At 49.0% G+C, this 26,412-nt stretch overlaps 2 long non-coding RNA genes across 4 annotated transcripts; one reads left to right on the top strand and one right to left on the bottom strand.

Moving 5' to 3' along the window:
• The first annotated feature begins 7,657 nt into the window (after positions 1-7,657).
• Positions 7,658-8,855, top strand: LOC105379444 (uncharacterized). Its single transcript, XR_950677.3, has 2 exons — positions 7,658-7,907; positions 8,446-8,855. It is a non-coding gene; the product is annotated as an uncharacterized LOC105379444 (long non-coding RNA).
• Positions 8,856-15,464: 6,609 nt separating this feature from the next.
• On the bottom strand, positions 15,465-22,063 carry LOC107987069 (uncharacterized). Of its 3 annotated transcripts, none has more exons than XR_007061550.1 (3): positions 20,414-22,063; positions 15,931-19,629; positions 15,465-15,543 (listed from the first exon to the last, which is right to left on the bottom strand). It is a non-coding gene; the product is annotated as an uncharacterized LOC107987069 (long non-coding RNA). The 3 variants fall into 3 exon arrangements; XR_001746683.2 differs by having other exon boundaries at positions 15,467-15,543; positions 16,060-19,629; XR_007061551.1 differs by having other exon boundaries at positions 15,472-15,555.
• Between the last annotated feature and the right edge of the window lie 4,349 nt (positions 22,064-26,412).

Here is a 26,412-nt window from a genome sequence, read left to right on the forward strand (position 1 = left end):
TAAGTGATTCTCTTGCCTCAGACTCCAGAGTAGCTGGGATTATAGGTGTGCACCACCACTCCTGGCTAATTTTGTATTTTTTTTTTTTTTTGTAGAGACAGGGTTTCTGCATGTTTGTCTGGCTGGTCTCGAACTCCTGACCTCAGGTGATCCACCTATCTTGGCCTCCCAAAGTGCTGGGATTACAGGCATGAGTCACCGCACTCGGCCCTGCAGACTTTCTTTTAGCTCAACTGGGAGAAGTGTATACAATTGCCAGCACCTCTTACTGTATTGGGATAAACATCTTAGGTATTGTAGAAACATAGGTAGAGGAGATCCAGAAGCTGACCCATTGGTTGTAGACAGTGGGGCCACCTGAAGAATCCTTCTTTAACCTCTATGGCAACCTCTTACCTAGATCTTTGAGACCCAGGGCTAGATTACTACTGCAGAGAGGTCTGGCTGTGCTGCTAGTGGTAGTAGTCCTCCTGGGACTAGTAAAATGTATTCTGGCTATGACTCAATGATGTTTCACTGAGACAGAGTCAGCCAAGGTGTTACATTGATCTGACAAGACAAACCTCCACCTCCAGATCTGGAGAGGTCAATGGGCATATGAAATACACCAGCTTTTCTAAGGGAAATATCTTGGTTGGAGCAGGAGACTGCAGGTCAACTTTCCAGGTGTCCTTGGACTGACCCAATTATCCCCTCTTTCTTGCTTGCAGTTGTCAAGAGCAACTGTAGTATATGCTGAGAATGCAATATCCTGAGACAGGGAAGAACTGCCTGAAACAGCCTAGGCCTTGTTACTCTCTCCCTTGACAGAGAATGTTCTTCAAAACTTTAGGCCATAGTTTCCCATTGGTCCTGAGGTGTGTAACCTAGGGCAAGCTGTCTTGTGGGGTCCCTCAACTGTGGTACAAGTGGGCCATGCACAATCACTCCATCCACTTCAGGCACTTCACATGCATTCCATCCACTTCAGGCAACTTTGTTGAGCCTTGGGCTACTGGCTCGTAATGGATCGGCTCACATAGGTACCTGTTGTCTCTTGCTCTTTGTCTGTAAATGATACATCTGCTTTATGTAATTTGTTGCATATGAGTGTGTTCTGTTTAACTGAACTCAGACAAGCTAGTAAATAGTACACAGTGTACCTGCCCCACACCCAGGATGTACATGCTAAAGCTAAACAGTGTGACTGCCTGCCAAAAGGAACAGTTTAAATAGAGCTCAGAATTGTCTGCCATGATAGACAAATGTCCAGAATATAATTACAAATCACCGATCATACAAAGAACCAAGAAAATAACAATATGAGTGAAAAAAGACAGTTAACTGACACCAACACCAAAACGCATCAGATGTTGGAATCATCTGAATATGATTTTAAAATATCTAGCAAAAATGTTTCAACATCAAATAGAAATTATCTTAAAATATATAACAAAATCGCAAAATATTAACCAAACTTGATTTGTAAAAAAAAAACAACAAAAAAGAACAAAATGTAAATTATAAAAGCAAACAAACACGGTAACAGAAATGAAAAATGTGTTGGATGGAGTCAATAGTGCCATTGAGATGCGAGAAGGTAAAATCAGTGAATGTGAGGGCAGAATAGTAGAATTTAACCAATTTGAACAACATAAATAAAATAGACTGATACATAAAATGAACAGAGATGTAGGTATGTGTGAGGCAACAACAAAAGATCCAACATTTTTATTACGTGTACCAGAAAAAAAGTAAAATGAGGCTGAAAGAATACTTGAAGAAATAGTGCTTCAAAAAAACCTCAAATTTGCAGAAGACACAAATGTATAGATTCAAGAAGCCTAAGATACCCTACACGGAATAAACACATTTCAAGAAATATTTTGATTAAACTTTTAAAAACTAAAGACAAAATATTTTTATTTGGTAGTTTAGAAACATAAATCTACCACTTTAAAATTATAGAGGTCAGAAATCTTAAATGGTTTTCATTAGGCTAAAATCAAGGTGTCAGCAGCACCGCTTTCCTTCTGGGGACTCTAAAGGAGAATACATGTTCTTGCCTTTTCCAGCTTCTAGGGGCTGTCTTCATTTCTTGTCTCTTGTCCACTTTCCCCATTCCTTGTCTCTTGGTTCTTTCCTCCAGTACAATTAGCAGTGTAGTATCTTTAAATATTTTCTACCACACTCTTCCACATTTAAAGGATTCTTGTGATTAAATTGCCCCCCCCCAGATAATCAAGTATGATCTCTTATTTTAAGTTCCGCTGTTTAGTAAGCTTAATGTCATGTGCAACCTTAATACTTTCTTGCATTGTAACATCATATATTCTTATATTACATAGCATATCCTTCCTGACATGGAGAATAGGACAGGGACAGTCTTGTGGGGGGTGGGGGGGGGCATTATTCTGCTTATCACAGTTAGCAAACAAAGATTTTGTGCCATGAAAACATGGAGGAAATACCCTTATCCTTATTTTTCTTCAGTCTTTCTCATCAAATAGATCTTTAGATCCAAAAGAGAAGACTCAACATTGCTTTTAATTAAATCTCAAGATGAACGAAGGGGCACTATGAGCCCTGGGCCCTAGTATTGGAGTAGAACTCATTCCAAAACAATAAGAAAGTTTAGGAAAGAGATTTTTAAGTTGCTCTAGATATCTTTGAGGATTATGGAGAATAGTAAAAGTTTTAGAAGACAAGAAATGGGCAGTGTACTAGTTTTTTAAAGGAAGATAGATCTCATAAACTATAGGTGAATGAGTTTGACATTACTTCTGGAAGCAATTTTAAGAAGCATGAAAACAATACTTTAAAAGCACTTAAAAGAATGCTTTGCAATCATGAAACATCATGGGCACACTGAGAAGAAATTGTATCAGAAAAATGATATTTCTTCCTATTTTTTGAATCTTTATCTTGTCCTTTTATTGTTAGTTGGCATGCAATAATTGTACATATTTATGGAAACTGATATTTTGATACAGGTGTACAATGCGTAATGATCAAATCAGGGTAATTAGCATTTCAAACACCTCAAACATTTATCATACTTTTGTGTTGACAACATTCAAAATCCTCTCTTCTAGCTTTTTGAAAATATACCATAAATTATAGTTATTTCCATGCGACCAGCTATAGAGCACTACAACAGAACTTATTCCTCCAATATAGCTATAATTTTGTGTCCATTAACCAACCTCTGCTCCCACATCCTTCCCAACATCTAATAACCACAATTCTACCATTTACTTTAATGAGCTCAAATTTGTTTAGCTCCTGCATATGGGTAAGGACAGACAGTATTAATTTTTCTGAGTCTGACTTATTCCACTTAACATAATGTTCGCTAGTCTTATCCATGATTCTGCAAATGACAGAATTTCATTCTTTTTATGGCAGAATATTATTCATATATATATATATATATATGAATGTATATACAAATTTGGTATATGTATATACCACATTTTTTATCTATCCATCCATTGATGGATATTTAGCTTAATTCCATATCTTGGTTATTGTGAAGACAGCTGCAATAAATATGGAGGTGCAGATGCCTCTTAAGTGTAATGATTTCCTTTCCTTTGGATAAACACCTAGTAGTGGGATCACTAGATCATATGGTGTCTCTATTTTTGTTTTGAGAAACCACCATACAGTTTTTCATAATAAGTGAAATAATTTAACTTACCAACAACAGTGTATGGTAGTCTAATTTTTCATGTCTTACATTTAAATTTTTAATCCATTTTGAGTTTATTTTTGTATAAGGTGAGTGATAGGAGTTTAGTTTCATTCTTCTGCATATGGATATCCAATTTTTCCAGAAGCATGTATTGGAGATTGTGTCCTTTCCCCAATGTAGGTTGTTGACAAAACTAAAGACAAAGTCTTAAAAGCAGCCAGATAGAAACAGTCACCTATAGGTGAAACATCACCTATAGAGGAAAACCAATGTAAATGAAAATACGTTTTTTCATCTGAAACAATGGAGGTCAGAAACAAGTTACACAATATTTTTCAGGTAGTGAAAGAAAAGAGCTGCCAACTCTGAATGCTACAGATGTTGTAACTATGCTTCTGGAGTAAAGGAAAATTATATTTTTTGAACTGTTTAAAAATTTGTTGTTAGCAAGCTTACCATTAAATGTTTACTAAAACTGTTATTCAAACAAAATAAAGAAAAAAAAGGAATTTTGAACATCAAGAAAGAAGGAAGATATATTAATAGAATTAGCAGAAATATGAATACATCCAATAGATGTGTTTTCCTAGTGAGTATTATAAATCATAGTTGATGATAGAAACAAAAATTATAACTCCACTTGATACTAAAGGAAGTGATATTTAAAAGTATAGAAGATAAAGGAAAATAAATATAAGCTGAGCTTCCTTGCTTTAATCAAAAGTGTAAAACCATTGGTATTTATATATTGTTTTATAAATCGGATATTAAATCAGGTATTAAAATATGAAGAGTAGCATAAAAAGTATATACAAATTTCCAAAGCAAAGAGTGTATATTGTAGATGTATTCAAACATTGTAAGTAAAGCAACATGAAAGCTCGAGTAGCACACAGTAAGTCCAAAAAAAAAGGAAAACTGAAAAATGAGAACAAAACAAATGAATATGTAGTAAATAATAAAATGAAATGCTTAGGTTTTAGTACATTAATAATTACATTAAATATAAGTGACATAAATACACCAATCAAAAGAGAAATTAGCTGAATAAATAAAAAAATGCAACCTTAACTATTGCTATAGTAAGAAATACACTTTAATTCAATAGTATCAGTAGGTTGCAAGTAAAATAATATAAAAATACATACCATGGAAATATTTATCAATAAAAGGGCAAAAGTGGCTATATTAATATCTGATAATCTAGAAGTTAGATTCAAAAATCTTACAAAGAACATTACTAACAACAGAGGAGGCAGTTAGAGGCTGGCTAGGCAGATAGAGAGGAAGGGTCTTGGGAGAAAGACAGCACCCATGGGAATGCACCTGCACTACCTTTGTGGTGTAGCTAGAATGTGGAAATGTGGTTAACAACTTCCTCTTATACCAAGATGTCTCTCAGAAGGGACTGTCCCAATTATGTTTCAATAAATCAACTAAATGTCCTTAACTTGACCCAGAGCTAATTGTAATATCATTAGCATTGCAGTTTTGGTGCCCCCATGAATTTTGCTTAGGCACTTATGACTAATAATCAAGATGGAGTCACTACTGCCAAACCTAGGTATGCACAGACAGAACACTCCCAGCAGGGAATTTTACCCCTTCCATTAAGGCAGGACCCACAAAAGACTTCCTTGTTTCTGTCACATAAAGGGATCAGAACTCAGCCCCATTTCTGGCAACCCTTGTTTGGGTCCACTCTTGCTGCTGAGAGCTTTTCTGTTGCTTAATGAATGCTAATTTGCCTTACTCACTCTCTGGTATTTGTGTGCCTCATTCTCTTGGTTGTGGGACAAGATCTTGGACCTCACTAAATTAAGGAGTGAGGAGACTGCAACACTAATAATAAATGGATCAATTCACAAGTAAACATAACAATTCCAAATATATATGCACCAAATAACAAAGTCTTAAACAACATGAAGAGAAAAATTATAGAACTAAAAAATAATAAATTATAGTTGTGGGTTTTAACAGCCTTATCTCAGCAATTGATAGAATTATTGGACAAAAATTTAACAATCAGCAAGCATGTAGAAGATCTGTACAGCACAATCAACCAACAAGATTTTATTCACACACAAACACACACACACACACACACAGACACACATATACAGATAAATATATATGTCAATTATATATATATCTCTCTCTAAATATAGAATCAGTCCACAAAAAACAGCAGAATATACAGTTTTTCAGGAGCTCATGAAATATTAACTAAAATACTAGATGATTTCTTGCACCATAAAACAAACGCTGATACATTTAAAAGAATTTATGTCATATAGAGTATGTTCTCTGACCATAATGGAATTAAAATAAAAGTCAGTAACAGAAAGAGAGCAGGAAAATGTTTAAATGCATTTCACTTATGCAACACAGTTCCAAATGATCTATGGATTAAATATAAAGTCTTAAATAAAAATCTAAAAATATATTTCAACAAATGAAAGAAAAATACAACATATCAAAATATAGGAAATACAGCTAAGGCTGTGGTGGGAAAGAAATTTATAGTACTAAATGCTTCATTAAAAATAAGAAAAGATCTCAAATCAATAACTTACACTTGTATCTCAAGAAACTAGAAAAAGAACAGAGTAAACTGAAAGCAGGCAGAAGAAGAAAAATAATCATCACAATAACAAAAATTCATGAAATTGAAAACAGAAAAAAATGTGAAACAAAAAGCTGGTTTATTGAAAAAATCAATCAATTGATAAACATCTATCAAAACCAACAAAAATAAATAGAGATGACACAAAACACAACAGCAAATTTTTAAAAAAAAATGCAAATGATCCAATTAGGTAATGGACAAAAGACATCAATGGACGTTTTAACAAGAAAAATATTCAGATGTCAAATAATCCATGAAACATGTTCAATATTATTAATCATCATGGACATGTCAAATAAAACCATAGTGAGATATTTCTACACACCTATCAAAATGACTTTTAAAAATTGTGACAATAGCAAAAGCTATTCAGGATGTAAAAAATACGATCACTCATAAGTTGCTAGTGGAAAAGTAAAATAATAGAGCCACTCTGAAAAATAGTTGACAGTTTTTTAAAAAGACAGACATGTTATTCATTCTTTCCACATTTTTTTTTGTGTGTGTGCTGATTAACCTTCTCTACCTCCTCTCCAATGCCCCAGTATCCTTACTAGCTTCTGTGGGCACTCAGTGTACCCATAAAATTTTAAGAAAATAATTAAAAATTTTTTAAAGTAAAATAAAAACCAGATATGCATAGACCATAGATCCCAGCAATTGCAGTTGTGGGTGTTTAATTTGGAGTGATGAAACTTGTGGTCCCACAAAAACTTGTTCACGAATGTCTACAACAGCTTAATTTGTTACAGTTGAAAAGGTCAATAAGCCCAGGTGAATGTTTAATTTGTGGTGAATTTATACCAGAAACCATGAAATACTACTCAGTCATCAAAGGAACAAAATATTAATTAATGCAATCATTTGGATGTATTTTTAGGAAATTTTGTCGAGTGAATAAAAGTCAATTATATACATTATGTACAACAGTACAAGTAGGCCTTGAGACCTACGGGATCATTCTGTGTTGCAGCAAGGCCCTGCCTGCCTCACCAGATGTGGTGAGCCTATCCTATCTCACTCGGAGGGGGCCAAAATCGGATCTGAAAGGGAGTCTGGAGAACACAGCAGGCATCCTGAAGCTCCACCTCCCTCGGTGGAAGTCGGCTCAAGGAGGTCCTGAGGACAGGACTCCTAGGGGTTTGGCCCTGGGACAGGACAAGACACCCGCGGCCCCCTCTCCAACGCCGCCCCAAACTGGATCCCGGATCCAGCCGCCGCCATGGCGGCAGGAAGAACCTCGCTGCCGCCGCCAGGCGGCGGCAGTATTTAAAGGGGACGCAGCCATACTGCCAGGAGCGGAGCGCGAGTCCGCTCAGCCAATGCGCATGCGCGAGGCGGGAGCGGTTTCTCCCGTCACAGTGGTTCCCACGGTTGTCTTAGAAACCAATCCCCGAGGCTTGGCAAAGCAGGAGCCCTCCGTGGCAGTGCTTGGGTGTCGGGGCTCTGAGGATCCAGCCTGACCTCTCCACGGGGTCGACCTGAACGTCTCCGGATGCCAGGAGTCGCAAAGGGCCGACCACGATGAGGAAACCCCAGGCGGGGACGGGGGAAGCAGCACGGGATCCCAGCCTCAGGCCTGCCCGGACGGTGTTGGTTGGGGTGAGTCTCCCCAAAAGTCGTGCCGCCATCCGTGATCTCGAGGACAGGTCGGCCTGCGTGCCCCTGGGCTGCTCTCTCACCCGAGGGTCTTTCTCGTCGTGAGCAGAACCCCGCAGCCTCAGGGGTTGCCTGGTGGTGTGTGTTTCAATGCCTCTGCTGTATGACGCTGTGTGTGTGTCTCTGTGTGTGTGTGTGTGTGTGTGTGTCTGTGTGTGTGTCTCCCATTCTCTCTTCTCTCTCTGTCTCTCAGTCTCTGTGTGTTTCTTTCCCTCTCTCTGTGGGTTTGTGTGTGTATGCCCGTGTGCGTGTGTGTCTTTGGCCGAATGTGCCCTGTGCGCCACAAAGCGGTTTGTCGCATGGCAGCCTGTCTTTGGTGAGCCTCTTTCTGCTTCTCTGCCTGGGTCATGAGGCCGGCTGTCAATCGTTTTCGCCGCGGCGGATCCGCTTTGGGTGTCTGAAAGCCTGGCCCACGTGAGGAGATGCGTCGCTCCCGGAGCAACTGAAATCTCAACCCCATCATGAGTGGCCTCTTTTCTAGGATCAAGATGAGTACACTGCAGCCGAGAACAAGAGCCCCAGAGGAACTCTTTGTCCCACAGGAGAGCAGCGGATCCACGCAAGAGAACATGCTTGTATCTTTTCACGGCTCTTCTCTGAGAAATGAAGCCACACCACGATACAGTCAGCAAGAGGAAGCCGGGAATGGGAGATGGCAACAGTCCCTGTCACTGGAACGCTGGCCTCTCTGGACAAGCCACCCTTTAGGAACCCCACCCCTTATGCCTGTGGCGGTGGCACGGTGCTGTATCCTGCCTGGGCTCTGGCCTCTACTCTCTCCTCCCTCTGGCTCTGCCTCCCCTGTTTCTCAGGGGCCTGGATGCCTCTCGCTCTGGCCAAATGCCTTCAAAAAAGATGACTTCCCAGTCCGTCAGGGAGACACTTTCTGGAGATCCGTGTCATGATCGTTTCTCTCTCCAAACGTGTTTCTGCTTAATTGGGCAGGTATCATGAGCCGGGAGCTCTTGGCTTCCATAGGTGTCTCAGGCAGGGAAGCTTCCTTCTTCCCCACGTTTCCCCTCATGGGTGGATGGATTGCCTAGAATGAGCGCTAGGCGACCGTGACTGGCCTTGACTTCCAGGACAGGTGGTGTCCCATTTCCTCTGCAATTCCTGTCTCATTCTTGAGGGACATCCTCTCCTCTGCTCCTGGGTGGCCTGACTCCCTTGATCTTCTGGACGAAACGAATGTCAGGAAAACAAAGGGACTGGGCTGGGGCTGGGGCTGGGGATGGGGCTGGGGCTGGGTGCAGCCAAAGTTGCCTCAGGGCTACCAGGGCGGTGGAGGCTTGGGGGTGGGGCGATTTTTGCCAAAACCTCTTTGCTCCTCTGGTACGCATTTGAAAACGTGGCTTGGGTCAGGCACAGCCCCCCATCTCGACCCGCAACCCCCGAGCCCCAGGTGTTCTTCGACTTTCCTTGGCATTGATGGAAAGGTCACTCATTTCCCCCTTCCACCAGCACACGCCTGGACACCACCCTTTGTTTCGCCGTCGCCCCATATGCCTCTGGCGACACACCATCTGCTGTGGGGTAGGCCAGTGCCACGCGTGGTCACACGGTCTCCACGTCGGATTCGCCCCTGTTCCTGGTGGCACGTGTCCTGTAAAGCGCGGTCGGCTTTCCGGAGCCCCTGGGCTTTTAGAAGCGGGGCAAGCCACTGATATTTCAAAGGAGGCGGGAGGCAGAGGGCTGATGGATGAGTGAATTTGCAGCTGACACTAGGCCTTGAGACCTATGGGATCATTGTGTGCTGCAGCGAGGCCCTGCCGGCCTCTCCAGATGTGGTGAGCCCATCCTATCTCACTCGGAGGGGGCCAGAATCGGATCTCAACGGGAGTCCGGAGAACACAGCAGGCGTCCTGAAGCTCCCCCTCCCTCCGTGGAAGTCGGCTCAAGCAGGTCCTGAGGACAGGACCCCTGGGGGTTTGGGCTTGGGACAGGACGAGACACCCGCGGCCCCCTCTCCCACGCCGCCCCAAACAGGACCCAGGATCCAGCCGCCGCCACAGCGGCAGCAGGAGCATCGCGGCCGCCGCGGGGCGGTGGCAATATTTAAAGGGGACGCAGCCTATCTGTCCGGAGCGGAGCGCGAGTCCGCTCAGCCAATGCGCATGCGCGAGGCGCGAGCAGTTTCTCCCATCACAGTGGTTCCCACGGTTGTCTTAGAAACCAGTCCCCGAGGCTTGGCAGAGCAGGAGCCCTCCGTGGCAGTGCTTGGGTGTCCAGGCTCTGAGGCTCCGGCCTCACCTCTCCACGGGGTCGAAGGGAACGTCTCCGGATGCCAGGAGTCGCAAAGGGCCGACCATGATGATGAAACCCCAGGCGGAGACGGGGGAAGCAGCACGGGATCCCAGCCTCAGGCCTGCACAGACGGTGTTGGTTGGGGTGAGTCTCCCCAAAAGTCGTGCCGCCGTCCATGATCTCGAGGACGGGTCGGCCTGCGTGCCCCTGGGCTCCTCTCTCACCGGAGGGACGTTCTCCTCCAGAGCAGAACCCCGCAGCCTCAGGGGTTGCCTGGGGGTGTGTGTTTCAATGCCTCTGCTGTATGACTCTGTGTGTGTGTGTGTGTGTGTCTGTGTGTGTGTCTCCCATTCTCTCTTCTCTCTCTGTCTCTCAGTCTCTGTGTGTTTCTTTCCCACTCTCTGTGGGTTTGTGACAGCCGAAGTTACGTCAGGGCTACCAGGTCGATGGAGGATTGGGGGTGTTGCGAATTTTGCAGAAACCTCTTTGCTCCTCCGGTAGGCATTTGAAAACGTGGCTTGGGTCAGGCACAGGCGGCTCCCCCACCCCCCGGGTCCCAGGTGTTCTTTGATTTTCCTTGGCATTGATGGAAAGGTCACCGGTTTCCTCCTTCCACCGCCACATGCCTGGACCCCACCCTTTGTTTCGCCGTCGCCCCTTATGCCTCCGGTGAGACACATTCACACCAACTGCTGTGGGATTGGCCAGTGCCACGCGTGGTCACATGGTCTCCCCCTCGGATTCGCCTGTTTTCCTCTTTGCAGGTGTCGTGTAAAGCGTGGTCGGCTTTCTGGAACCGCAGGGCCTTTAGAAGTGGGGCAGGCCACTGCTCTTTCAAAGGAGGAGGGAGGCAGAGGGCTGATGGATCAGTGAATTTTCAGCTGACTCTAGGCCTTGAGAATTATGAGATCATTCTGTGCTGCAGCGAGGCCCTGCCGGCCTCACCAGTTTTTGTGAGCCCATCCTATCTCACTGGGAGGGGGCCAAAATCGGATCTCAACGGGAGTCCGGAGAACACAGCAGGAGTCCTGAAGCTCCCCCTCCCTCGGAGGAAGTCGGCTCAAGCAGGTCCTGAGGACAGGACCCCTGGGGGTTTGGGCCTGGGAAAGGACGAGACTCCCGCGGCCCCCTCTCCCACGCCACCCCAAACAGGACCCAGGATCCAGCCGCCGCCATGGCGGCAGCAGGAGCATCGCGGCCGCCAGGCGACGGTGGCGATATTTAAAGGGGACGTAGCCTGACTGCCAGGAGCTGAGCGCGAATCGTCCCAGCCAATGCGCATGCGCGAGGCGCTAGTGGCTTCTCCCTTCACAGTGGTTCCTTCGGTTGTCTTAGAAACCAGTCCCTGAGGCTTGGCAAAGCAGGAGCCCTCGGTGGCAGTGCTTGGGTGTCGGGGCTGTGAGGCTCCGGCCTGACCTCTCCACGGGGTCGAAGGGAACGTCTCCGGATTCCAGGAGTCGCAAAGGGCCGACCACGATGAGGAAACCCCAGGGGGGTACGGGGGAAGCAGCACGGGATCCCAGCCTCAGGCCTGCCCGGACGGTGTTGTTGGTTGGGTGGGTCTCCCCAAAAGTCGTGCCGCCATCCGAGACCCCGAGGACAGGTCGGCCTGCGTGACCCTGGGCTGCTCTCTCACCCGAGGGTCGTTCTCGTCGTGAGGAGAACTCCGCAGCCTCAGAGATTGCCTGGTGGTGTGTGTTTCAATTCCTCTGCTGTATTACTCTGTGTGTGTGTGTGTGTGTGTGTGTGTGTGTGTGTGTGTGTGTGTGTGTGTGTGTCTCCCATTCTCTCTTCTCTCTCCCTCTCTCAGTCTCTGTGTGCTTCTTTCCCTCTCTCTGTGGGTTTGTGTGTGCATGCCCGTGTGCGTGTGTGTTTTTGGCTGGAGGTGCCCTGTGTGCCACAAAGCGGTTTTTCGCATGGCGGTCTGTCTTTGTTGAGCCTCTTTCTGCGTCTCTGCCTGGGTCATGAGGCCGGTTGTCAATCGTTTTTGCTGCTGTGGATCCACTTTGGCTCTGTGAAGGCCTGGCCCACGTGAGGAGATGTGTCGGTCTCGGAGCAATTGAAGTCTCATCCCCATCCTGAGCGGCCTCTTTTCTAGCATCAAAACGAACACACTGCAGATGAGGAGAAGAATCCCACAGGAGCTCTTTGTCCTACAGGAGAGCAGCAGACCCATGTCAGAGAAGATGCTTGAGTCTTTTCACGGCTCTTCTCTGAGAAATGAAGCCACACCACGATACAGTCAGCAAGAGGAAGCCGGGAATGAGAGATGGCAACAATCCCTGTCCCTGGAACGCTGGCCTCCCTGGACAAGCCACCCTTTTGGAACCCCACCCCTTATGCCCTTGGCGGTGGCATGGTGCTGTATCCTGCCTGGGCTCCGGCCTCTTCTCTGTCCTCCGTCTTACTCTGCCTCCCCTGTTTCTCAGGGGCCTGGATGCCTCTAGCTCTGGCCAAATGCCTTCAACGAAGATGGCTTCCCAGTCCGTCAGGGAGACATTTCTTCGAGATCTGTGCCGTGATTGTTTCTCTCTCCAAACCTGTTTCTGCTTGATTGGGCTGGTCTCATGACCCGGGAACTCTTGGCTTCCTTAGGTGTCTCAGGCAGGGAAGCTTCCTTCTTCTCCACGTTTCCCCTCATGGGTGGTTGGATTGCCTAGAATGAGCGCTAGGTGAACGTGACTGGCCTTGTCTTCCAGGACAGGTGGTGTCGCATTTCCTCTGCACTTCCTGTCTCATTCTTGAGGGACATCCTCTCCTCTGCTCCTGGGTGAACTGAAGCCCTTGATCATCTGGCAGAAAAGAATGTCAGGGAACCCAAGGGACTGGTCTAGGGTGGAGGGCTGGTCCTGGGGCTCGGTGCAGCCAAAGTTGTGTCAGGGCTGCCAGGGCCTTGGACGGTTTGGGATGGGGCAAATTTTGCAGAAACCTCTTTGCTCCTCTGGTAGGCATTTGAAAACGTGGCTTGGGTCAGGCACAGGCCCCCCCCCACCCCGCGTGTCCCACGTGTTTTTCAATTTTCCTTGGCATTGATGGAAAGGTCACCCGTTTCCCCCTTCCTGGACACCACCCTTTGTTTCGCCGTCTCCCCGTATGCCTCCAGTGACACGCATTAACACCAACTGCTGTGGGATAGGCCAGTGCCACGCGTAGTCATATGGTCTCCGCCTCGGATTTGCCCCTGTTCCTCTTTGCAGGTGTCCTGTAAAGCACTGTCGGCTCCCGGAGCCCCAGGGCTTTTAGAAGCAGGGCAGGCCACTGCTCTTTCTAAGGAGGGGGGCATTGAAAAACACACCCCCAAGCAATCCCTGAGGCTGTGATGTTCTGCTCTCTATGAGAAGGACCGTCGGGTGAGAGAGCAGCCCAGGGGCATGCAGGCCGACCTGTCCTAGAGATCACTGACGGAGGCACGACTTTTGGGGAGACTCACCCCAACCAACACCGTCCGGTCAGGCCTGAGGCTGGGATCCCGTGCTGCTTCCCCCGTCTCCGCTGGGCTTTCCTCATGGTAGTCGGCCCTTTGCGACTCCTGGCATCTGGGGACGTTCCCGTTGACCCCAAGAAGAGGTTAGGCCGGAGCCTCAGAGCCCGGAAACCCAAGCACTGCCACGGAGGGCTCCTTCTTCGCCAAGCCTCGGGGACTGGTTTCTAAGACAACCGTGGGAACCACTGTGACTGGAGAAGCCGCTCCCGCCTCGCGCATGTGCACTGACTGAGCTAACTCGCGCTCCGCTCCTGACTGTCAGGCTGTGTCCCCTTTAAATACTGCCACCTCTGAGCGCGACAGCAGCGAGGCTCCTGCTAGCCCCGCTGCGGCGGCTAGATCCGGGGTCCAGTTTGGGGCGGCGTGGGAGAGGGGGCCGTGGGTGTCTTCTCCTGTCCCAGGGCCAAACCCCGAGGAGTCCTCACCTCAGGACCTGCTTGAGCCGACTTCCACTGAGGGAGGGGGAGCTTCAGGACGCCTGCTGTGTTCTCCGGCCTCCTGTTCAGATCCAATTTTGGCCCCCTTCGAGTGAAATAGGATGGGCTCACCACATCTGGTGAGGCAGGCAGGGCCTCGCTGCAGCGCAGAATGATCCCATAGGTCTCAAGGCCTAGTGTCAGCTGCAAATTCACTTATCCATCAGCCCTCTGCCTCCCTCCTCCTTTGAAAGAGCAGTGGCCTGCCCCGCTTGTCAAAGCCCTGGGGTTCCGGAAAGCCCACCGCGCTTTACAGGACACCTGCATAGAGGAACAGGGGCGAATCCGAGGTGGAGACCATGTGACCACGCGTGGCACTGGCCTATCCCACAGCAGTTGGTGTTAATGTGTGTCACCGGAGGCATACGGGGTGACGGCGAAACAAAGGGTGGTGTCCAGGCATGTGCCGGTTGAATGGGGAAACGGTTGACCTTTCCATCAATGCCAAGGAAAATCAAAGAACACCTAGGACCCGGGGGGTGGGGGTCCTGTGCCTGACCCAAGCCAAGTTTTCACATGCCTACCAGAGGAGCAAAGAGGTTTCTGCAAAATTCGCCCCACCCCCAACCCTCCACCGCCCTGGTAGCCCTGACGCAACTTAGGCTGCACCCAGCCCCAGCCCCAGCCCCAGCCCCAGCCCCAGCCCAGTCCCTTTGGTTCCCTGACATTTGTTTCGGCCAGAAGATCAAGGGAGTCAGTCCATGCAGGAGCAGAGGAGAGGATGTCCCTCATGAATGAGACAGGAAGTGCAGAGGAAATGCGACACTACCTTTCCTGGAAGACAAGGCCAGTCATGGTCACCTAGCGCTCATTCTAGGCAATCCACCCACCCATGAGGGGAAACGTGGAGAAGAAGGAAGCTTCCCTGCCTGAGACACGAATGGAAGCCAGGAGCTCCCAGGTCATGTGACCTGCCCAATCAAGCAGAAACACGTTTGGAGAGAGAAACAATCACGACATGGATCTCGAAGAAATGTCTCCCTGACCGACTGGGAAGTCATCTTTGTTGAAGACATTGGGCGTCAGCGAGAGGCATTGAGGCACTTGAGAAACAGGTGAGGCAGAGCAGGAGGGAGGACAGGGCAGACGCCGGCGGCCAGGCAGGATGTATCACCATTCCACTGCCAGGGTCATAAGGGGTGGGGTTCCAAAAGGGTGGCTTGTCCAGAGAGGCCAGCATTCCAGTGACAGGGACTGTTGCCATCTCCCATTCCCGGCTTCCTCTTCCAGACCGTATTGTGGTGTGGCTTCATTTCTCAGAGAAGAGCCATGAAAAGATACAAGCATCTTCTCTGATGTGGGTCCGCTGGTCTCCTGCGGGACAAAGAGCTCCTGTGGGGCTCGTGTCCTCGTCTGCAGTGTGTTCATCTTGATCCTAGAAAAGAGGCTGCTCAGGATGGGGATAATATTTCAATTGCTCCGGGACCGAAGAATCTCCTCACCTGGGCCAGGCCTTCACACACCCAAAGCGGAACCGCGTCGGCGAAAGGGATTGATAACCGGTCTCATGACCCAGGCAGAGAGGCAGAAACAGGCTCACCAAAGACAGGCCGCCATGCGAGAAACAGCTTTGTGGTGCACAGGGCACATTCAGCCAAGGACACACACGCACAGGGGCACACACACACAAACCGACAGAGAGAGGGAAAGAAACACACGGAGACTGAGAGACAGAGAGAGAAGAGAGAATGGGAGACACACACACATACAAACACAGACACACACACAGAGTCTTATAGCAAAGGCATTGAAAGACACACACCCAGGCAACCCCTGAGGCTGTGGGGTTCTGCTTTCGACGAGAACGACCCTTCGGTGAGAGAGCACCCCAGGGGCACGCAGGCCGTCCTGTCCTCGAGATCACCGTGTCACGACTTTTGGGGAGACTCACCCCCACCAACACCGTCCAGAGAGGCCTGAGGGAGGGATTCCATGCTGCCTTCTCCGGACTCTGCGTCGGGTTTCCTCACCCTGTTTGGCCCTTTGTGACTCTTGGCATCCAGAGACTTTCCCCTCGACCCAGTGGAGTCGTCAGGCCAGAGCCTCAGAGCCTTGACACCCAAGCACTGCCACGGAAGTCTCCCCCTTTGCCAAGCCTCGGGGACTGGTTTCTAAGACAACCGTGGGAACCACTGTGAGGGGAGAAACCGCTTGTGCTTCGCGCATGAGCATTGGCTGGGCCGACTCGTTCTCCCTTCCTGGCAGTCAGGCTGCGTCCCCTTCAAAGAACGCCACCGCTGAGAACTGACCCTCACATCTCCCTTCCTGAATTTCTTTAGGGAAAGCAACAACCATCCCTGTAAGCCATGGGTTTTCATGCGGAGGAAGGAGAGGGCTAGTTGTCTGAGAGGGAAACTGCTTAAGGCTGCAGACTAGGAAATGGGATTCCAGGTTTAAGATAGCTCCTTTCTGGACCTCAGTCCTTCACCTAGTCACCTAGTCACAGGGTGGATCGCCTCTAAGGATACTTAGTGGAAAAGGAACCAAATTCGGGATGGTTCTCCTTGCTTTAAGCCTTGATGGGAGACGGGGAGGCCAACCCTTCTCTGCAGACCGTGATCCTCACTAGACAGAGGAGCTCCAAACCTGCCCATCTCATCCCATGCACCGACGGTGCCTGGCCTGGCTCCAAACTCCCGAAAGGAACTATTTTACAGGTGCCAAAAAGGGGACAGTGTTGATAATAATAATAAAATGAAACAATCTGATTGGGGCATTGCTGGATCAGAAAATGTGTGACCTTTTTAAAGTTAAATTGTTAAAAAAATTTAACTATTAAACATTTTAAATATTAAGCCTGATCTGTTTGGTAGCCCTGGAGCAGGGCTGAAGCATAGAGAGAAACCTTTCCTTCAGCCAGGTTGTCTGTGTCACACTGATTTATTTTTGTTTTATTTGTGGATTTCTTAATGGACCCAATGGTGGTTCCTCTTTGCACCCCTCGGGTTCACAGGCAATTCCATCCTAGCCCAGTTCTCAGTTCTGGTTTAGTTTTCATAACTTTTGGGGGTCCAGGGAGCCATGAGACTGGAGATAGAAAGCAGAAGTGCACTGGGGCGGTGGGTCTGCCTTGGCTTACCCCCAAATTTCTGGATTCCAGGTGCCTTGCTCCAGTCCCCGCCCCATCCTAGGCTCAAGATGCTCTCCCACGCTACTAACCACTGGTCCGGTCAAAGCCCAGGCTGCTGCCAGCCGCCATGTTATCTCCTAGCCTGGCTAGGGTGCCTGCTAGCCAGCAGTGGCTATGGTGGTGTGCAGAGTGAGGGTGAGTTTTTGTATTGACTGCCATTCCGTTTACCTCAACAAGTATGTTTGGGCAACCATTCTGTGCCAGGCAGCAGACAGAGTCCCTGCACTGCAGGAATTCCTAGTCCTGTGGGCAGGGGTGTGTGGAGGATGGCACATGGTGGTTAGCCTGGTCCAAGGGTCTCCACTCCCTTCCTAGCATCCTAGAGATCCTGGAGGCTAGGTTGGCCACAGAGACTGAGTTCAGGACAATTCCTTCACGCAGTTAACGAAGTTATCTGTAACTTCCTGGTTAAAAAAAAAACACACACACACACACAAACACAAAAACTGTCAGTCGTGGGAGGTATTTCCCCACTGGGCTGGTTGGTAGCAGGGGAAGAACTGTGGACCCCTGGCCGAGTGGCGCCTGGAAGGAGGCTGACGTACGAGTGGTATAGCTGTGAGTAGGAGAAGTGAGATCTAGTGGGGTAAGTCCATGTTCCCTGTTCCTAAAGTCAAATTCTCCCTGAAAAGACCCAGGGCAGCACTGTTAGGGAGCTGAAGGAGTCCCTCTGTACCCAGAGGGAATTAGGCCACTCAGGCCTCAGAGAAGGAGGGCGGGTGGTGAGGACAACCTCCCTAAGCCCCCATCAGAGCAGGCCCAATACTTGGAAATTCACTCCTCAGTCCACCAGATTCTGGTCCCATCCTACATCCGCACCAGGGCACAGGAGGCCCACATAAAAACAAGCTTTATTTGGCCAAATTAACTCACTTTCCTGGATTACCTTACTTATTGGAAAGCAAAAGTACACCCCACGCTCCTCGCCCTGTCCCTGACTAAACCTCTTTATCTCTGAAGCCCACTCTTTGAGACCTAAAAATTAGGGTTCAAGAGAAACGCTCTAGGACTACAGGAGTGACATGACAGTCCCTATCCTACAGTGCACTAAAAGCCAAACTGAAGGCTGCTTCCTCGGTGGAGAGTGTCTCAGGGTGAGGTGGCAGGACTGTTAGCCGCTTCTCATTTTACAAGCTCCTTGTCCACAGTCATCTGCACCAGCCCCTCACAAAACTGGTTCTCGCCTTCTGGTGGGTGCTGGTGTTTACCCCTTTCCTCCCACTATCTGTTCAAACCGAGCCCACCCACCCTCCATTCACCTCCCCTCCTTAAGTCTCCCTGAGCTCTATTTACCCTTTTGTAACTCCATCCCTCCATAAGTACACAACTCTCCTAGCTGGTTTCCTAGAGGGCAGATACAGTGTTTCCAGTTGGCCCTCTGCAGATATCTGTGAATAAGTCTCTCCCAGCCCCTACATATAAATGTGTCTGTTCTAGACAGATGGGCCTAAGTCCCAACGTAAACACATCACTGGATAATTACACCTTATATACATACAGATCTCTCTATAGAGTTATATTTGAAAGTGTCTATAACTCTAGAGAGAGATTGCAGCATGCACCTATAGGACTATAATTACTTATGTCTATTTTTATAACTATGCAGTTATAAATAGATATGCCTATATATAGTGATAATAATATAGAAATATCTCCATAGCCATATATGGCTCTAAGTGAATGCTCTAACTACTCTATTTCGCAATCAATAAGTATATATCTCCTGATACATAATTCTAACAATATACGTTTTTATCTATATAGCTGTTCAGAGATATAAATCTGTCAGGATATCAAATGTACATAAAGCCGGATGGCTGTAAGGGAGTCGCATATTTTCCCATATATAAATCTGCTCCTATAACTACTGTATATGCACAAATACAATGGAAATAATTATATTTCCCGCAAACGTAAATCTGTAAATACAACCACAGCACATTTAGGTACCATTAGACATAGAGCAATATTTCCTAGACATCAGTCTGTCATTAGAGCCACCAGTGCCTCCAAACAGAGAGTTATAGAGGGAGTTATAAATAATCTCTCCAGATGTGAACGGATCAGTAGAACTAGATGTAAACATGACTCCAAGCCGTTCCTCCTCCTCCTTCTTCTTCTTTGTAAGATATTCCTGAAGCAAGCCCAGTCATATAACAGGGTGCAGAGGTGTCTGGGTACTGGTATTTTTTCCCCCAAGGAGAGTCGGAGGTGGCTGGACTTTGGGAAACTGTGCAGGAGTGGGTAGGGGACAATGCCCGCTCCCAACACAGCCCAGAAGCCCCTTCCATCTGTCTCTTGGTGGCTGAGAGCTTGGGCAAGTGGAGAGGCCTAAGGGAGAAAAATGAAAAAGCAGAGTCTGGCTTGAGTCGTTCGGCCCTTCGGCCTAAAACCCTCTCAACAGGGAAGCCCCGAACAGGCGTCGGAGCGGAGAGAGCCCACGAGGCCCAGAGGCTGGGGGAAAGGGGCTGCAGGCCGGGCTGTGGAGGCCGAGCAGAGTCGCCAGCCGGTGCCTGACCGCCCGGCGCCCCGTCTCCCGGGGCCGCTGCCTCGCCCTCGGCCTGGAACACAAAACCTGGGCCCTAGCCCTGCGCCCTGTGCTCAGCACTTCCACTGGTCTTATTTTATTGCTGTTTTGTCCAATTAGGTATCGCAGCATCCTCCACCCGGTGTTGTTTTCAAATGCGAGGGCACCCAGGGCTTTCTGAATGCGTGTGTGTGTGTGTGTGTGTGTGTGTGTGTGTGTGTGTGCTGGCTTTAAATAAGTGACTCAGTGGATAGTGTATTTCTCTTTTCAGACCAAATGGGTCACCGGCTACTGAAAAAGAATCCAGACCTCTGAAAGGGTTCGTGACAAATTTTTTAGAAGTTCTCACGCTCATCTGTTACGATGATTTTCTTTTCTTTTTTCTCTTTTAAAAAAGTTGGCTAATTTGTGTTTCTATATTCCTCTTTAATTTTATTTTTATTGGGGGTACAAATGTTTTTAAAGGAGGGATTTCATTAGACCCGAAACTGTGGGGTGGCTTCCTCTCTAGCCAACTTACTATCTCTACGCCTGTGATTCCCATCTCCCCCAAGAAAACAAACCAATTAAATGACCAGAAAACTGTACCTGGAGAAAATGAAGTATATGTTGCAGGATCCGGGACCGCGGTCTTTGCTTGCTTCATGAAAAATCGGCTGGTCTCCAAACTCGCGAAGGAAAATTCAAGGCGCCTCAACTCCTCCTTTTAAATTTTTTAATAAAGAGCCTAGAAAGGGAACTTTCCCTGGGCCTGCCGGAGCCCCAGCCTGGCTCTCCCAACTTCCCAGCGGCCATAAATGTTTTTCTGCTTCCATTCGGGCCCCCCGTCTTCCCGGACATCTCTGAGCTCCTGCCGGATCAAGGCTGTGGTCATCACCTCATTCATCTCTGCTGCTTGGCCTGGGCCTGCACATTTGGCCTCCTTCTTAAAACAGGGGCTCCTAGAGAGTCCCAAAATCCATTAACCATTCCCATATGTGGGATCCCTTCCCTGATCACACAAAGCAGAAGCCTGAGAAAAAAAGCAATAAAGAGTGGCCTCCTGGCTCTCCTTCTCCTCTTACGTCCCTTGTCTGGGAAAGGGGTTCCCAACCGCAGCCCCACCAAGAGCATATTAAGAAGCTGTCTTCCTCCCTTCCTTTCCTATCTCCCCCTCAGATGCTGTGATCCTGACTCCTGTCTCCACCTCAAAATATTTCCTCTTGCATTTTATTGTTATTCTGTTATGCAGGGACTGTTAACTACTGTTTTATTATTATTATTCATTATTTATTGTTATTAAGATTGTCGTTAGAGATTTGTTCACCACCGTTCAAGGGACAGCAGCCTGGCCCAGGGGGAAGCCTGCCTCTCCCTGTCTGTCTCTCTCTCTCTCACACACACACACACATACACACACACACACCCTAACACAGTGCACACTCACGCATATATGGTCACAAATGCCTGCTGTGTTCAGGCCCCTGCACAGCAATCCGAAGAGGCAGGCATCCTACCCCAGCATGCAAACAACACACTGCCCACGCACACCAGCATTCAGGCAGAACACCACCCCCAGACCAACGCCAAAACCCACACGCACCGAGCTTGCAAGGAAAGGAAAATACATAAAGAATCCCTTCTCTCCAAAACCTGGAGGGGTGAGTCAGGCCTCTGTCTCTTCCCCCCAGTCGCTTTCGCTTTCTCTTTTTTTTTCTCCTTGTTTACAGCTTCAGAGAGCTCAAGGCCCATAAATCTTGAGGGGTCTACAGAGCGCAGAACACATTTGTATGCATCGTTAGGATTCGCTAATACCTAAGCCCATTAAGGAGCGTGTATGCGCGTGGTTTCCGGTGTGTATTAACTTATAGTTAAATTCTGGAGGAAAGGGCATTGTGAATTAACATATACCAAATCCATCATGGGCTTTTGTCATATCAGATTAGTCAGTCATGGGTTTGGGGGAGCAACTTGCCTGGGTCGGCGTGTACCCACCCTTCAAACTTTGTGGAGCAGGCCCCTGGGTCTTGGGAAACACGAAGGCATTCCTATCCAGCCCCAGTCATTCGGATCCCCCAGGCCTAGCGGCTGCACACCTGCGAGATGGAGGGGGGACTGCAGACCCGGGTGCGGGAGGCCAGTGCCAGCGAAGAGAGGTGGGCAAGGGAGGCCCCTCCAGCGTCCTGCTGGGGTTGAGTTGGGGCGGCTCGTCCCGTGGCCGCTGGGTCGTCTGGTTTCCGCTTTCCGAAAGAAATGAGAGGAGAGACAAGTGGAGTCGCTGAACTTTAATTAAACCGTAGAGAAGACAGCGGGGGGAGGGAAAAAAAATCGGAGAAGGAGGAGGAGGTGGCCGAGAGATCAAGGAAAGGAAGTCCTGGTGGCTCCGGAGAACTTGGAAATCTCTCCAAGGGGCTGAAAGCTGGAAGTTGTATGAAGGTGTTCCTTTCCCACACCCCAGCTACTCCGCCCCAGTCGAAGAGGCTAATTCCGGCCCTCTTATAAAAATAAGAAAGAAAAGGTGAAGAAAAAGAAAGTCTAATTATGTGGCATGTTTCAGCCAGGTGTTCCTGGTTCCAATGACTCAGACCCTATTGGAGCCCTGAGGGTCTGGATAATTGGGCCTGCATAGACAGAGATGAAGGATGCCATTTCTAAAAGGAGGAAGGGGAGAGGAAAATGCCAAAGACCAAACAAGCTAAATTATTGTGTCTGTGTAGATCTATTTGCCTATTTACGTACAGCAGGCTGTGGGGGTGGAGGGTGAGGGAAGGCCAGGAATAAACGACCAGGATGGAGCGGGCTGGCAGGAGAGAAAATGCGCCCCCCGCCCTTTGCGGGAACAGCCAAGGGGCCTCCTCAGCTCGCAGCTCAGGCGGCCGCGCTGTGTACCGGTCCGGAGCCAGGGCCGGGCTGGGGGAGGGGAGGCGGGGGAGGGAGGGGAGGCGGGGGAGGGAGGGGAGGCGGGGGAGGGAGGGGAGGCGGGGGAGGGAGGGGAGGCGGGGGAGGGAGGGGAGGCGGGGGAGGGAGGGGAGGCGGGGGAGGGAGGGGAGGCGGGGGAGGGAGGGGAGGCGGGGGAGGGAGGGGAGGCGGGGGAGGGAGGGGAGGCGGGGGAGGGAGGGGAGGCGGGGGAGGGAGGGGAGGCGGGGGAGGGAGGGGAGGCGGAGGCGGGCCCTCCCCGGGCGCTGTGAACTTTAGCTGGGCCGCCGCCTGTAAGCCCCAGAAAGCATTAAAGGTGCAGCAGCCCGCGCCAGACTCCGCAGCCGCCTTTGTACACGTGATTTATGACTTCAATCTTGGTTCACCAAGAGTTCACACGGCTTTGGCTGCTGTTGAAGGTTAAAAGATGGTCTTCGCTTGACAAGTTGGACTATTGAAAATTCCTTCTTCTTCTTTTTTTTTTTTTTATTTTAGAAGCAAAGAGCAGAGGCTCAGGAGAGAAAAAAATTGGGGGGTGGGGGCAGGGGACAGGGGTTGCAGGTGGGCCAAAATGGTAGGTCAGGAAGGTTTGTCTTCCTATATTTAGGCTTTTTGTTGTTAGGATTTGCGTGTGTGTTGGGGAGAGGGTAGATAATAAGAGGGAGCTAGGCAAGAGATGTAAAGATCTCTCATATGTAGAGGTCAAAGGAGTGAAAAAAAAACTCGTGCTTCCACAGTTAATTATCTGGGTAACTTGGGTCACACCCCCTAACTGATCCTCCTCCAGAAACCAGAAATGGGCCAGGTAAGGGAGAGAGTTTGGGTAAAGGGTAAGGTTTGTGTGCTTCTCACTGGGTGTACTTGATCATCCACCTTACCTGGGTAACTACTTTTTTTTTTTTTTTTTTGGAAATGGGGTCCAGCTCTGTTTCCCAGGCTGGAGTGTTGTGGCACCATCATAATTCACTGAAGCCTCAAACTCCTGGGCTCAAGTAGTCCTCCCACCTTAGCCTCTTAAGTATGTGAGACTGCAGACATGTGCCACACCACCAGGTTGGGTAGCTGCTTTTCAATGTGCTTCTGCACCCACAGATTTGGAAAAGGGTATTTTTAGGCAGCAGTCTTTCAACTCTCTTCATCCTGTATGTTTAGCCTGCCATTTACATTTGATGCACATGAAGAGGCTAATGGGAAGGAAATCTATAGAACTGGAATTGGAAGTCCTTTTGAATCCCAAATCCCCTTGGTCTAAGAGCCAGTCTCTCTTCTTTCTAGCGTTTTGACAAAGGTCGTGCCACAGCAGAGATGGTGGTCAAAGGCCTCCTAAAGACCAGGATCTAAGGCCCCTTCGTGATCTAAGGCTCTGAGTACTTGGAGAGACAAAACTCACTCCTTCTTTGTAGATTCAGAGAGAGAGAGAGAGAGAGAGAGAGAGAGAGAATGAGGAGATACCTTGAAGCTGAGGGTCTGCTTGGCTCTTTGAGGTTTTTTTTAAGATATGTTTTTAAAAAATTTTCTGGAGTGGGAATTGGGACTGTGTGCACTGGGAAGGGGAACAGCAGAGAGCTGTGTCTGGAGTTGGGTGTGCCTCCCTAGCCCTATTAAGGCCCCATCTCCATTACCAATGCTAGGTAAATGTCTTCTTAAGAGATAGAGCCAGCCCCTCAAATCCAGATCTGGGAACCAAAGGCATCCACGCTAGAAGGGGCACTCCCTCCTTCTCTTTCTACATAACATTAGAGAGGTATTTTCCCACCATGTGAGGACTTAGATAAGAGAAGGAGAAGAGCCAGAAAGATGTCCACATCTCGCCGGGACACCTAGCACCAGGCCCTCCTACAGGGGACCTCATATGTAAATAGCAGAATGGGGAGCAGAGAACAGAGAGACCCCAGAAATCCAGAGTCCAGGCTCTGAGGTCACTTTGGCAGGAATGGTCCTCTGGCCTTATGAAGAACAGAGGGGCAATATGGCACTGTTTAGTAGCTCAGGGGGTGGTAGCTGTTAGGAGGAATCAGCCAAGGAAGCTAATGGATCTCTTCCAGGTTCTGGTTGGGAAGCAGAGGAATGAACTTAACGGCCTCTGGAAGTAACATCTATACTGAAGTCCCCTTCTCACACTTTCTGAGTGTGTTCCTCCCTGGGAAATAATTCCAGTGGGCTTGTGCTTATCTGCAAGTCTGGGGTAATTATGAATTATTAATTCATCATTAAGACTTGATTGTGACCGTTGCTCTCCAGTGGACCCATTTATCTCCTTCTTTGTGAGGCAGAGGGCAGCCTCTGTTAGCCCTTGGCTTCTGTAACAGGCAAACTGAGGCCAGCCCCTCTTGAAGGCACTCCTTGAACTCTGCCCTAGGTGGGATGGTTGCCTCATTACCAGTCAAGTCATGTTGCACCTCAGAGTATTTGTGGGATACAGCCACCTCCCACAAACTTCACATTTCAAAGTGCTTTGTAGGCTCCTGGAGAGATAGAGTAGGGGATTGGGAGTGAGACTCCAACAGGGGAAGAAACTTGGCCAAGCTGTGAGTGGAGATAGGAATTAAGGCGAGGTGGGAGGACTCCCAGGCACAGTATCTAAGCAATCTGGGATCAGGAATGGGCATTTTGCCTTCCTTACCCTAAGGAGATGCTAGTCTCCCTCAACTCTCTGGGGACCCCTGAACACATATCTGGCCCCTTTTCCTGACCTTTCTAGGGGAGACCCCAGAGACAGCCTCCCTGGAGCCACATTGCAAGTGGCCAGAGCTGCATCCAGCATCACCCCCTCTGAGGGGCCGGTAGACAGCTCCAGGCGGAGCTCAAAGTGTCCTCGGACTCCAGCAGGAAGTGTTGGACTGGATGTCGGTGGGGTCCTTTGAGACCCCGATTCTGCAACCTCAGCCCCCGGGGCCCTCCAGGCCCACAGTCCTGCTGACTGAAATGTCGGCAATGGTGGCCACTGCGCCTCTGCTCAAGAGTTTGCAGGAAGTTCCACGTGGGAGATCAAGTGAGAGTGGCCAGGGGCCTCTAGCAATGACCAGCAGACAAAGCCTGGTCTCCAGGCATCACCAGGCCACTGGGCCAGGAGCCTGAGCTGTGGGCTCTGTGGTGGGTGGATGCTGGTTTTCTTCACTGGTACAGGAGAAAATGGGGATCCTGAGAGATCCCATGGAGAAGCTTCCAGCAAGCTGGGCCTGGATCCCAGCCCGCCTCTGCTCAGGTGTTCATAGTTGTGGACGCTGAGTATCTGCCAGTCCTAGTCCCTCGGAGGGACCCATGCACTCCAGGAAGCAGCCTCAGACCCAGGGAGGTGGTATCATGCACTGATGATGGCAAGGCCTCCTGGAAGCCCCTGGGGCAAAACCTCTTGGCAGTGCTCAAGGCCCCACACTGGAAAGTGGACACAGCACAGTGATTTGCCATGTCCAGGCCGGTGCAGAGCAGCAGGCAGCCCACGTCACTCTCCTGGGCCATCTCTCTGCAGGGGACAGCCACCATCTGAGCCCCCCATCCAGGGGTTCCCATGTGGGGACACCTTCTGGCAGCCCAGCTGAGCTCCCACCCCTAGCAAACACTGCCGGCCTCCCACCCCAGAGTGCTTTCAATGGCAGCAGCCCCCGAGGGCACCCAATGAGAGACCCCAACTGAGAGCCCCCAAGCATGCCCTCCAGACTCCTGGCGAGTGGGACGGTGAGTGAGGAGGCCCG

This window comes from Homo sapiens, chromosome 9 (assembly GCF_000001405.40).
Source record: "Homo sapiens chromosome 9, GRCh38.p14 Primary Assembly".
NCBI lineage: Eukaryota > Metazoa > Chordata > Mammalia > Primates > Hominidae > Homo > Homo sapiens.